The sequence below is a fragment of the Homo sapiens genome, chromosome 3 (genome assembly GCF_000001405.40).
Source record: "Homo sapiens chromosome 3, GRCh38.p14 Primary Assembly".
In the NCBI taxonomy this organism is placed as follows: Eukaryota; Metazoa; Chordata; class Mammalia; order Primates; family Hominidae; genus Homo; species Homo sapiens.
In genome coordinates this window covers 197,920,005-197,933,829 of record NC_000003.12, presented here as the reverse complement: position 1 = coordinate 197,933,829, position 13,825 = coordinate 197,920,005, and the positions used below count along the sequence as shown (strand labels likewise).

The 13,825-nt window shown below is 43.6% G+C and overlaps 1 protein-coding gene across 9 annotated transcripts in view; it reads left to right on the top strand.

Moving 5' to 3' along the window:
* The window catches only part of DRC9 (dynein regulatory complex subunit 9), a 71,101-nt gene that overhangs the window by 26,348 nt on the left and 30,928 nt on the right, over positions 1-13,825 (top strand). For all 9 annotated transcript variants that reach the window (XR_007095755.1, XR_007095756.1, XM_024453790.2 and 6 more), the window contains 2 exons: positions 1,528-1,656; positions 7,725-7,806. Coding sequence is in view for 7 of the 9 variants with exons in the window: in XM_024453790.2 (XP_024309558.1) it covers positions 1,528-1,656; positions 7,725-7,806 (211 nt within the window). In the remaining 2 variants the exon portion in view is untranslated. The remainder of the gene's footprint in view (positions 1-1,527; positions 1,657-7,724; positions 7,807-13,825) is intronic.

Below are 13,825 nucleotides of genomic sequence, written 5' to 3'. Positions count from 1 at the left end.
CAAAAAAAAATGAAATAAAAATAATAACATGTAAAACTACATGTATTATTTAAATAAAACACACAAACACATAATAAAAGTATCACAACATGCTAGAGAATAATAATCACCAAATTCAGAAGAGTGTTTATCTCTGGGGAAGATTGAGGGGACTGGGACTAGAGACTTCAGATATATCTGACACATGTAATCTTTAAAAAAAACCAAGTCTCTACCATGGTAAAATATTTAAATTTGGTGTTACGTACATAAATATTCATTATTTTATTCTTTATACTTTCTGAATTTTTGAAATACTTCATAATTTTGAAAAAGTTAAATCATTTAAAAAAATTTTTTTAAAGACCTAATCAAACTTTTGCGGTTTTTTTGTTTTTTGTGTTTTTTTGAGACAAGAGTCTGGCTGTGTTGCCCAGGCTGGAGTGCAGTGGCACAATCTCAGCTCACTGTAACCTCTGCCTTCTGGATTCAAGCAATTCTCCTGCCTCAGCCTCCCGAGTAGCTGGGATTACAGGTGGGCACCACCACACCTGGCTAATTTTTGTATTTTTAGTAGAGACGAGGTTTCACTATGTTGACCTCAAGTGATCCACCCACCTTGGCCTCCCAAAGTGCTGGGATTACAGGCGTGAGCCACTGCACCTGGCCTGGGTCTTAACTTGTGTGACTTCTGTAGCCCTTTGTGAATGTAGGGAAATGCGTATGTATAATATATGTATTTTATATATATATATGTATAATATATGTATTTTATATATATATGTATAATATATGTATTTTATATATATGTATAATATATAATATTTTATATTAATATATATTATACATATATAATATGTAATATATAATACAATATAATATAATATATAATAATATATAATATATATTATACATATATATAATACATAATATGCATATAATACATATATAATACATATATTATACATATATAATATATATTATACATATATAATGTATATTATATATAATACATATATAAATACATATATATATAATACATATATATATTTTTTGAGACCAGGTCTTGCTGTGTAGTCCCAGCTGATCTCAAACTCCTGGGCTCAAGCAATTCTTCCACCTCAGCCTCCCAAGTAGCTGGAATTAGGGCACATGCCACTGCACCTGGCCTGAAAATATTATTTATTTATTTATTTATTTATTTATTTATTTATTTATTGAGACGGAGTCTCACTCTGTTGCCAGACTGGAGTGCATTGGTGATCTCTGCTCACCGCAACCTCCACCTCCCGGGTTCCAGCAATTCTCCTGCCTCAGCCTTCCGAGTAGCTGGGATTACAGACACCTGCCACCGCGCCTGGCTAATTTTTTTGTATTTTTAGTAGGGATGGGGTTTTACCATGTTGGCCAGGATGGTCTTGATCTCCTGACCTCGTGATCCGCCTGCCTCAGCCTCCCAAAGTGCTGGGATTACAGGGGTGAGCCACCATGCCCGGCTGAAAATAGAATTTATTAACTCATTTTTTGTTGGTCTGTTTCTCCTTACAGGCAGTTTTTCAGCGATGTGATTGCAGATACCATTAAGGAGTTGCAAGATTCGGCCACTTACAACAGTCTCCTGCAAGCTTTGAGCAAAGAGAGGGAAAACAAAATGCATTTCTATGACATCATTGCCAGGTCAGAGTCATGTTAGGTTTACTTGCTTTGCTGTATTTTAAAGTGCTAAAACACTCTTACTGGAAATCCTTGAATTTTAAAGCAAACCAACCGTGTGCTTTCCAGGGAAGATAACTAGAAGTCAGAATTTGGGTTTTCTTCCTAGTTCTGCTGGGACAATAAGTCAGATTTCTAGGACTTCATTATCTGTATTTACAATATATCAAGACCATTCTTCCTTCTCTAGTAACCTTTCTTAAGATTGAATTCGGCCGGGCGCGGTGGCTCACGCTTGTAATCCCAGCACTTTGGGAGGCTGAGGCGGGCGGATCACGAGGTCAGGAGATCAAGACCATCCTGGCTAACACGGTGAAACCCCATCTCTACTAAAAAATACAAAAAATTAGCCGGGCGTGGTGGCGGGCGCCTGTAGTCCCAGCTACTTGGGAGGCCAAGGCAGGAGAATGGCCTGAACCCGGGAGGCAGAGCTTGTAGTGAGGCAGAGCTTGTAGTGAGCCGAGATCGCACCACTGCACTCCAGCCTGGGCGACAGAGCAAGACTCCATCTCAAAAAAAAAAATAGATTTAATTCATTGAAAATCACTGAACAATAACAAATGAATGCCAAGGAAAGTTTTTCTTTTCCAGAACCTTTCAATTTATGAATTCTGTCTAGAACTCTTTTTTTGTTTGTTTGTTTGTTTTGTTTTTTTGAGATGGAGTCTTGCTCTGTCACCCAGGTTGCAGTACAGTGGCACGATCTCAGTTCACTGCAACTTCCGCTTCCCAGGTTCAAGCGATTCCCCTGCCTCAGCCTCCGAAGTAGCTGGGATTACAGGCGCCTGCCACCACGCCTGGCTAATGTTTGTATTTTTAGTAGAGATGGGGTTTCACCATGTTGGCCAGGCTGGTCTCAATCTCCTGACTGCAAGTGGTCCACCCATCTCAGCCTCCCAAAGTGCTGGGATTACAGGCATGAGCCACCGCGCTCGGCCTGGAACTCTCTTTGGATGTTGATCCTGTAATGATTGATCCTGCATTTTTCTTGTCCTTTTTTGCTCATTTACCATCTGCATTGTTTTTATTCTATTCTTAGAGAGATTTCCTTAACTTTGTCTTCCAACTCTTTCTTTCTTTTCTTTTCTTTTTTTTTTCTTTTTTTGAGATGGAGTCTCGCTCTGTCACCAGACTGGAGTGCAGTGGCACAATCTTGGCTCACTGCAACCTCCGCCTCCCGGGTTCAAGTGATTCTCCTGCCTCCACCTCCCTAGTAGCTGGGATTACAGGCACCCACCACTGCGCCTGGCTAATTTTTGTATTTTTAGTAGAGACAGTGTTTCACCACGTTGGCCAGGATGGTCTTGATCTCTTGACCTCGTAATCCGCCCACCTCGGCCTCCCAAAGTGCTGGGAACACAGGCTCTTCCTTTTCTTTTCTTTCTTTTTTTTTTTTTTTTTCTGAGACTGAGTCTCGCTCTGCCTCCCGGGCCAAAGTGCAGTGGCACGATCCACAGCTCACTGCAGCCTCATCCTGGGTCCCAGGCTCAAGTGAGTAGCCTCCCGAGTAGCTGGGACCACAGGTGTGTGCCACCATGCCTGGCTAATTGTTTTATTTTTGTAAAGTCAGAGTCTCACCATGTTAACCAGGCTGGTCTCAAAATCGTGGGCTCAAACAACCCACCCGCCTCGGCCTCCCAAAGTGCTGGGATCATGCCTGTAATCAAAGTGCTAGGATCACGCCTGTAACCCCAACCACAACTGGCCTTATCTTCTAACCCTTGTGTTTAATTTTTCAAAATGTTATGCTAACATTGATTTCTAAGAGCTCTTCCCTGAGTTTTTCATTTTTTATAGTATTCTTTTTTGTCACTCAGGCTAGAGTGCAGTGGCATGATCTTGGCTCATGGCAGCCTCGACTTCCTGGGCTCAAGCAATCCTCCTGCCTCAGCCCCCTCAAGTCGCTGGGGACCCAGGCATGCCCAGCTAATTTTATGTATTTTTTTGTAGAGATGGGGTTTTGCCATGTTGCCCAGGCTGGTCTCGAACTCCTGAGCTCAAGTGATCTGCCCGTCTTGGCCTCCCAAAGTGCTAGGATTACAGGTTTGAACCACCGTGCCTGGCCTTCTCATATATTTCTAAGAACATTAATTATAGTTGTCTTTTTTTGTTTAAGTTGTCTTCTGTTTCTTGTATTGTCTTTCTTCTCTCCGAGTTACTTTTTCTCCCATTTGTTTTAGTTTCTGTTTTGTTTTGTTTTGTTTTTGAGACAGAGTTTCACTCTTGTTGCCCATGCTAGAGTTCATCCGCCTGCCTCGCCTGCCTCGGCCTCCCAAAGTGCTGGGGTTATAGGCATGAGCCACCATGCCCAGCCTTCTGTTTTTCTGTTTTGTTTTGTTTTGTTTTTTAATTTACATCTAAATTTTTTAGAGCAAATGTTACTCTGTCACCCAGGCTGGAGTGCAGTGGCATGATCATAGCCCACTGCAGCCTCGAACTCCTGAGCTCATGCTATCCTTCTGCCTCAGCCTCCTGAGTAGCTGGAAGACATTTGCCACTATGCCCAGCTAATTTTTTTTGTTTGTTTTTTTAGAGATGAAGTCTCACTATGTTGCCCAGGCCAGTCTCCAACTCCTGGCCTCAAGTGATCCTTCCACCTTGGCCTCCCAAAGTGTTGGGCTTATAGGTGTGAGCCACCGCACCTGGCTCTAGTCTCTGTTTTTAATGTTAGGGGAATTGTGTTTGGTCATCTTTGGCTGTCCGTTTGTATTTAAGAGTGAAGTGCCAAGAAGCTGATGGATGCTCTGCTCTGTGCATGTGGGCAACACTGCACTGTAGCATGGCTGGGCAGAAAAGAAAAGTACATCTTTTCCCTTGGTGTAGTCAGCATTCTCGAAGAATCTACCAATCTTTGCTGGGAGGGGTGAGGAGCAGTGAAGAAGTAATGGTTATTGTCAGTGGTTATTCTCTGACTACCCATGTGTTGAGAGCTAGCCAGGGAAAGGCTGGGGAAACTCACCATCCATTAAGCAGAATGTTTTTTGGTCCCCCTGTTTTTAGCATGGTCCTTCATCTCCACCTCCAGCTGTGTCTGGTGTCCGTCTGCAAGTCCAAATCCTTGGTTCAACCATTCCAGGCAACCTGGCCAAAACTAACCAAACACCCATGATCTCCCGAGAGGAGAAAAGGCAGCTGCCTGGCCACAGGGCTGGGGAAGGGAATCAGGTCATCCTGCTCCTTTGCCAGACTTTTGATCGCTCCACCTGGATTTAGCCCTGTGGCACAGTTGTGCCTTCGAAGATGTGTAGTGCCTTCATGTGCTGAGCTTTTCTGGGGGGCCTGTAGCTTTATTCTGTTTTCTTCTTCTTAGCTTCTCATTCTGTACACATTTAGATCTCATTTTTCTCTTGTCTGCTTTATATCTTCTTTAATTTTGCTGATGTCTGTCAGCTGCATCATTTCTTCTCCCAATCTCTTTGTGTTTATAGGTTTACACCTTTCATTATTTCTTGCCTGTTATTTTAGTATTGTTTCAAGAGTGAACAGAGGGCTAGGCATGGTGGCTCACGCCTGTAATCCCAGCACTTTGGGAAGACGATGTGGATGGATCATTTGAGGTCAGGAGTTTGAGACCAGCCTGGCCAACATGGTGACACCCCACCTCTACTAAAAATGCAAAAATTAGCGAGGCATGGTGATGCGCACCTGTAGTCCCCAGCTACTCAGGAAGCTGAGGCAGGAGAATCGCTTGAACCCGAGAGGTGGAGGTTGCAGTGAGCCGAGATTGCGCCACTGCACTCTAGGCTGGGCGACACAACAAGACTCTGCCTCAAAAAAACAAAAAAAAAAAAAAAAAGAGGGAACAGAAATAAATGCATGTGTTCACCTGCTAAATAAAATGAGAAAGAGCACATGGTTATGTCAAGTGAAAAAGTTAGGATAAAAATAATACCCATAATATAACTTAGTTTTGTAAGAAAAAATTATAGTGTGTATTGACTGGAAGGAAATATAATAAAATTTCAATGATAGTTAACTCCAGATAGTGGGATTATGGGTGATTTTTATTTCTCTTCATACTTTCTTTGCATTTGATACTTTAAGTTCTAGGGCACGTGTGCAAAACGTGCAGGTTTGATACATAGGTATACATGTGCCATGGTGGTTTTCTGCACCCATCAGCCTGTCATCAACATTAGGTATTTCTCCTAATGCTCTCCCTCCCCCAGCCCCCCACCCCACAACAGGCCCCAGTGTGTGATGTTCCCCTCCCTGTGTCCATATGTTCTCATTGTTCAACTCCCACCTATGAATGAGAACATGCGGTGTTTGGTTTTCTGTCCTTGTGACAGTTTGCTGAGAATGATGGTTTCCAGCTTCATCCACGTCCCTGCAAAGGACATGAACTCATCCTTTTTTATGGCTGCATAGTATTCCATGGTGTATATGTGTAAAATGGGCACTTTTATAATCTCATGTAAATGATATTTGTTTGTTTCAATAAACCTTTCCTTGGGATATTGAATTAATAGTAGACGGAAAGTACTCATTCTGTAGCTTTCTTATCTATTTTTTGTGATCTATGAGTGGGAAGTACATAATCTATAGTTTGTTTTGGCAATGACAATCTCAAGATTCTAGTTAATTAACTATGTGCTTTCTAAAAATTCCTGGCTGGGTGCAGTGGCTCACACCTGTAATCCCAGCACTTTGGGAGGCCAAGGCGGGTGGATCACCTGACGTCAGGAATTCGAGACCAGCCTGGCCAACATGGTAAAAACCCATCTCTACTAAAAATACAAAAATTAGCCAGTGTGGTGGCACATGCCTGTAATCCCAGCTACTCAGGAGGCCGAGGCAGAAGAATTGCTTGAACCCGGGAGGCGGAGGTTGCAATGAGTCGAGATCGTGCCACTGCACTCCAGCCTGGAGAACAGAGTGAGACTCTGTCTCAAAAAAAGAAAAATAAATACATAAAAATAGAAATTCTTGAGTAAAAATCTTTACCTAGCTGCAGTTTAGTGAGAAGTCTTCTTTTGTTTTGTTTTGTTTATTCTGGTATTGTTTTGCTATTTTTTGTTTGTTTTAAACCTAAATAATGGGATTGCTGGAGAGAAGCAGAAGGCTGTTTCTCAGAGTAGATTGAGAAACAGTCATACAAAGTAGTTAAGTTCACAGGCTCCGGTGTCCGACAGTCCTGAGTTTGAACCCCTTTCTGCCATTTACTGTTTGTGTGACCATGGCAAGTGTGTTAGTCCAGGTCTTCTGAAAAATGGATGCTGAGATGGAATTATTCATGCAAAGATTTTATCAGGGGAAAGATCTGCGTGAGAGAAAATGGGGAGGGAACCTTCAGAACCAGTGCAAGGCTGACCCCCAGTGAAGGAGAGGCTGGAAGACACGGCTGTGTTTGGCAAGGTCATCAAGAGTCCTTGAGCCAAAGTCAACCATCAGAGACGCCCTGACTCCCCAGGAAAGGCCCATCCCATGTGATTCCTGCCACACTTAATAATGGGATGGGAGCAGTCTGTGGGCAGTGTGGCCTCAGAACACACAGAGAAGGATTGCAGAGCCTAGAAGCCGGGACCCTTGCTGACTTACGCCCCCTGTAGTTGGAGATCGGTGAGGCACATTCTCACATCCAGCACATCAACTCACCTTAGCTGTCTACACCGCATTTTCTCATCGGTAAAATAGAAATCAGGCTATTGTGAGGGTTAGAATATGTAATTGAAGTGCCCAAAGTAGAAAGGATTCTTCTTTCTCCTCTTGCTGTCCTTCTCTTCTTCACTTTTTCTCAGCAGCAGCTATTTTTAGATTCGACACTGACAAGCCAGAGAATCTTCCTCCAATCTATTAAAACAAATCTGTCTTTTAAAACGTGTTATTGAAAATGTGACGTGGACCAGCCCTGTTAGCATTGCTTGGGAACTCGATAGAGATGCACACTTCAGGCCCCTCCCAGACCTGCTGAGTCAGATTCTCTGGGGGAAGAGGCCAGGAATCTGGTTTTCTTATGTGCGGGGTGGTCCTTGTGCACGTAAGTTTTGAGAAGCACTGCTCTAAACACAAATCATTCTTATATCTTCTAGGGAGGAAAAAGGAAGAAAACAGATAATATCACTTCAAAAACAGCTAATTAATGTCAAAAAGGAATGGCAATTTGAAGTCCAGGTAAGAATTACCTGCTTAACACCAAAAGTGACCGAGCTAACACAGCTATTAAATATATGGAAGCCATCTTTCTCAAGCAGAGAAGAGTTACATGTAAAAGATTGTTGTTTCCTCCGGCATTCCTTTACTATTGAAAACATAGCCGGGCACGGTGGCTCACGCCTGTAGTCCCAGCACTTTGGGAGGCTGAGGCGGGCGGATCTCCTGAAGTCAGGAATTTGAGACCAGCCTGGCCAACATGGTGAAACCCCATCTCTACTAAAAATACAAAAATTAGCCGGGTATGGTGGCAGGTGCCCGTAATCCCAGCTACTTGGGAGGCTGAGGCAGGAGACTCACTTGAACCCTGGGAGGTTACAGTGAGTCAAGATTGCACCATTGAACTCCAGCCTGGGTGACAGAGCGAGATTCCGTCTCAGAAAAAAAAAAAAAAAAACAGAAGATATAAAGATAGCAAGTAGAGAGCTGGCCTGGGTCGTACAGGTGTGTCTGGAATATAGAGCCCTGCGAGACCCCAACCCCCTGGAGCCCTTAGTTCCCATCTTCGTATCCCACCACATACACCCCCACCCTCCCCCACAGATGACCTCATCCCATCCTCATATCCCACCCCACAAACACCCCCACCCTCCCCCACAGATGACCTCGTCCCATCCTCATATCCCACCTCACAAACACCCCCACCCTCCCCCACAGATGACCTCGTCCCATCCTCATATCCCACCCCACATACACCCCCACCCTCCCCCACAGATGACCTCATCCCATCCTCATATCCCACCCCACATACACCACCACCCTCCCCCACAGATGACCTCATCCCATCGTCATATCCCACCCCACATACACCCCCACCCTCCCCCACAGGGGGCCTTGTCTCAGGCAGTCTCTTGTACTCTCACATCCCAGATGGAAAAGTATATTCCTAAAGAAGACATTCAGCACATTATGAACCTTCTCATACATAGTGGTTGGGCTTCATTATGTTATTTGTATTGTATTTTGAGGACAAAGTGGATTTGCGAGCTTTTGTGGTCATTAGGACCTAACCTCGTATCTAGTTTACTTTTATAAGAAAATGCATCCCAAGTTTTAAGGAATTGACTTGCAAAACAAAGTTGGGGCTACAACCTAAGCAGTTAGAAACCAGCTGTATTAGGATGACTGACAACTTTTCTAGGAGCAGTTTAGAAAGTTACAGAGGATGGCCGGGCGCGGTGGCTCACGCCTATAATCCCAGCACTTTGGGAAGCCAAGACGGGCGGATCACGAGGTTAAGAGATCGAGACCATCCTGGCCAACATGCTGAAACCCCGTTTCTACTCAAAATACAAAAATTAGCCGGGTGTGGTGGTGCGCACCTGTAGTCCCAGCTATTCAGGAGGCTGAGGCAGGAGAATCGCTTGAACCTGGGAGGCGGAGGTTGCAGTGAGCCAAGACAGTGCCACTGCACTCCAGCCTGGTGACAGAGCGAGACTCCGTCTCAAAAAAAGAAAAGAGAAAGTTACAGAGGATGGCCCGTTATCAGCTTTTCACTGACCAGCTGTTTGGACAAGTTTATGCTTCACAGAAGGGAATTTTCGTTATTCCCTACATAGACGTTGGAAAACTATTTTATTTATATATTTCATTTTTATTTTTATTTTTTGGTGGAGTGAGATGGAGTCTCACCCTGTCCACTCCATCACCCAGGCTGGAGTGCAATGGCACAATTTCGGCTCACTGAAACCTCTGCCTCCTGGGTTTAAGCGATTCTCCTGCCTCAGCCTCCCGAGTAGCTGGGACTACAGGCATGCACCACCATGCCCAGCTAATTTTTAAAATATTTTTAGTACAGACGGGGTTTCACCATGTTGACCAGGCTGGTCTCAAACTCCTGACCTCAGGTGATCTGCCCATCTCGTCCTCCCAAAATGTTGAGATTACAGGTGTGAGCCACCGTGCCCAGCCTATTTATTTGTTGTAGACACAGGATCTTCACTCTGTCACTCAGGCTGGAGTGCAATGGCACAATTATAGTTCATTGCAATCCTGCGCTCAAGCAATTCTCCCACCTCAGCCTCCTGAGTAGCTGGGACTACAGGCACGTGCCACCACGCCAGGCTGCGGTTTAATTGTTCGTAGAGGTGGGGTCTTGCTTTGTTGTCCAGGCTGGTCTCAGCCTCCTGGCCTCGAGTGTTTCTCCCTCCTTGGCCTCTCAAAGCATTGGGATTACAGGCATGAGCTGCCATGCCCAGCTGAGAGAATATTTTTATTTATTTATTTTTTACTGTTTTTTGTTTTGTTTTGTTTTTGAGACACGGTCTCACTTTGTCACCTAGGCTGGAGTGCAGTGGAGTGATCTCAGCTCACTGCAACCTCTGCCTCCCAGGCTCAAATGATTCTCCTGCCTCAGCCCCCAGATAGCTGGGACTACAGGCACCTGCCACCACACCCAGATAATTTCTTAAATTTTTGATACAGACAGGGTTTCACTATGTTGTCCAGGCTGATCTCGAACTCCTGAGCTCAAGTGATCTGTCTGCCTTGGCCCCCCCATAACGCTAGGATGATAGGTGTGAACCACTGCACTGGGCCTGAGAATATTGTAAGTTTATATGGAAGAATTGTTTTTAAAAGGTCACTAGGAGGTGGAAGGATCATTTGAGGCCTGGGGTTTAAGACCAGCTTGGGCAACATAGCAAGACTCTGTCTCTATAAATAAATAACTTATAAAAATAACTGGAAAAGTAAAAAAATTATCTGGATGTGGTAGTACACATCTGTAGTCCTAACTGCGTGGGAGGCTAAGGTAGGAGGACTGCGTGAGCCTAGGAGGTTGAGGCTGCAGTGAGCTGTGGTCTCCCCACTGCACTGCAGCCTGGGCAACAGAGTGAGACCGTCTCAAAAACAAAGTCACTAGACTTTTTTTTAAGATATTATCTGTAAGTCTTCCAAGCAAATTGCCTAACACCTTCTCTTATTTTGTATTTGCCAATTACAAAGCACCTTAGGTAGCTCTAGGTCTTGATGTCATTATCCCTCTTAACCCTCTGCATGTAGCTTATATTTTTTAAAAACTACTTTTCTTCTCTGGGAAACTTCATGAAAACTAGTTTGTGTTTAAGTTTTCTCTGTAATGAATAGACTTTTTCAGAGGTTTCCTAACTCTTTTCCCTGAAAAACTCTCATAATTTAAAAAGACTAATATAAATATCTTCTATTTTAAAAGTCATGAATCTTTTGACATTATCTTATAGAAGATAAGTATCTTTTAAGTATGTTTTAAAATAGAAGATATTTATTTATTTATTTATTTATTTATTTATTTTTATTTTTGAGATGGAGTCTAGCTCTGTCGCCCAGGCTGGAGTGCAGCAGCTCGATCTTGGCTCACTGCGACCTCCGTCTCTCGAGTTCAAGCGATTCTCCTGCTTCAGCCTCCCAAGTAGCTGGGATTACAGGTGTAGGCCACCACACCTGGCTAATTTATGTGTTTTTAGTAGAGATGGGGTTTCACCATATTGGCCAGGCTGGTCTTGAACTTCTGACCTCAGGTGATCCACCCGCCTCGGCCTCCCAAAGTGCTGAGATTACAGATGTGAGCCACTGTGCCTGGCCAGAAGATATTTATATTAGTCTCCTTTTAAGCCCTCCAAAGCAATGTCAAAAGAAACCTCAGATTTAGCACTTTGCCAGTTAACTCCCATTCTACCATAAGGACCACACCTGTTGATGGTAGAATTTTCCTAACAGCAACAACACTTGCTCCTGAGATGTATCCTCTTAATTATATTCTCAGCCATTACATTCAGCCAAAGTAAAATTAAAGTAGAATATCATTCAGATATTGTGATCATCAGCAAAAAAAATAGGTTAAGAAACCAAGATTCTGCTTCGTAGTGGGTCTTAAAAAAAGAAAGAAAGAAACCAAGACTAGAAGATCCAAGGCAAGCCTTGGAACAAAAAAGAACTACCAAGATGAAACCAGGTGAAATCCCCAGAGTTACTGAAAACCAGTAGTCGGGTCGACCAAGATGAAACCAAGTTAAATCGCCAGAGTTACTGAAAACCAGTAGTCAGGTCAACCAAGATGAAACCAGGTGAAATCCCCAGAGTTACTGAAAACCAGTAGTCGGGTCAACCAAGATGAAATCAGGTGAAATCCCCAGAGTTACTGAAAACCAGTAGTCGGGTCAATCAAGATGAAATCAGGTGAAATCCCCAGAGTTACTGAAAACCAGTAGTCGGGTCGACCAAGATGAAACCAGGTTAAATCCCCAGAGTTACTGAAAACCAGTAGTCGGGTCGACCAAGATGAAACCAGGTGAAATCCCCAGAGTTACTGAAAACCAGTAGTCGGGTCGACCAAGATGAAACCAGGTGAAATCCCCAGAGTTACTGAAAACCAGTAGTCGGGTCGACCAAGATGAAACCAGGTTAAATCCGCAGAGTTACTGAAAACTAGTAGTCGGGTCGACCAAGACGAAACCAAGTTAAATCCCCGGAGTTACTGAAAACCAGTAGTCGGGTCGACCAAGAAGAAACCAAGTTAAATCCCCGGAGTTACTGAAAACCAGTAGTCGGGTCGACCAAGAAGAAACCAAGTTAAATCCCCGGAGTTACTGAAAACCAGTAGTCGGGTCGACCAAGAAGAAACCAAGTTAAATCCCCGGAGTTACTGAAAACCAGTAGTCGGGTCGACCAAGAAGAAACCAAGTTAAATCCCCGGAGTTACTGAAAACCAGTAGTCGGGTCGACCAAGACGAAATCAGGTTAAATCCCCGGAGTTACTGAAAACCAGTAGTCGGGTCGACCAAGACGAAATCAGGTTACATCCCCGGAGTTACTGAAAACCAGTAGTCGGGTCGACCAAGATGAAATCAGGTTACATCCCCGGAGTTACTGAAAACCAGTAGTCGGGTCGACCAAGATGAAATCAGGTGAAATCCCCGGAGTTACTGAAAACCAGTAGTCGGGTCGACCAAGATGAAATCAGGTTAAATCCCCGGAGTTACTGAAAACCAGTAGTCAGGTCAAGGTTGGAAAACAAGAAGATAGGAAGTATATGCACATTAGGGAACTGTGGGTCAGAAAATGATGCCAACAAGAATGGCAGGTTTTTGTATATGAAAGTGTTGGTGGTAGCTTAGATGTGTAGGATTAATTGCCTTAGATACTCAGCAAAAAGAAAGAGTCACAAAGCAAAAAAAGTTTCAGACTTCTGAACATCAACATCCAAAGCAAGATAACAATGGATCAGCACTTCCATGAAACTCCTGGGAAAAAAAGAACCAAGATTCATATATAAAAATCTATCTTTTATACATCAGCAACAGATTTAGAATAGAAAATTGAAAATTTATATATATTATTTACAATAGCATCAAAACTATCAATGCCTAGCATTGACTCTAACAGCAGCAACAAAAACAATAGTAAAACACATGCCACCAGGCCCAGCTTATGTTTGTGTTTTTAGTAGAGACGGAGTTTTGCCATGTTGTCCAGGCTGGCCGCAAACTCCTGGCCTCAGGTGATCCACCTGCCTCAGTCTCCCAAACTGCTGGGATTACAGGCATGAGCCATCACGACTGGCCTTTTTTTTTTTTTTTTTAATTGAGATGGGGGGGTTCTCTCTTTGTTGCCCAGGCTTGTTTTGAACTCCTGGCCTCAAGCTTCCCAAGTAACTAGTCCTACCTCAGCTTCCCAAGTAACTAGGATTACTGGAGCTCAGAGTTTATTCTGAGTCTATGGACTCGTATAGTATCAGCCGGTATTCTAAGTCATAGACAGCAAATAGAAATGTTAATTTATTTTATTTTATTTTATTTTTGAGATGTGATCTCACTCTGTCTCCTAGGCTGGAGTGCAGTGCCGCGATCTCAGCTCACTACAACCTCTGCCTCCCAGGTTCAAGTGATTCTCCTGCCTCACCCTCCCAAGTAGCTGAGATTACAGGTGCACGCCACCACACTTGGCTAATTTTTGTATTTTTTTTTTTTTTAGTAGAGATGGGGTTTCACCATGTTAGCCAGGC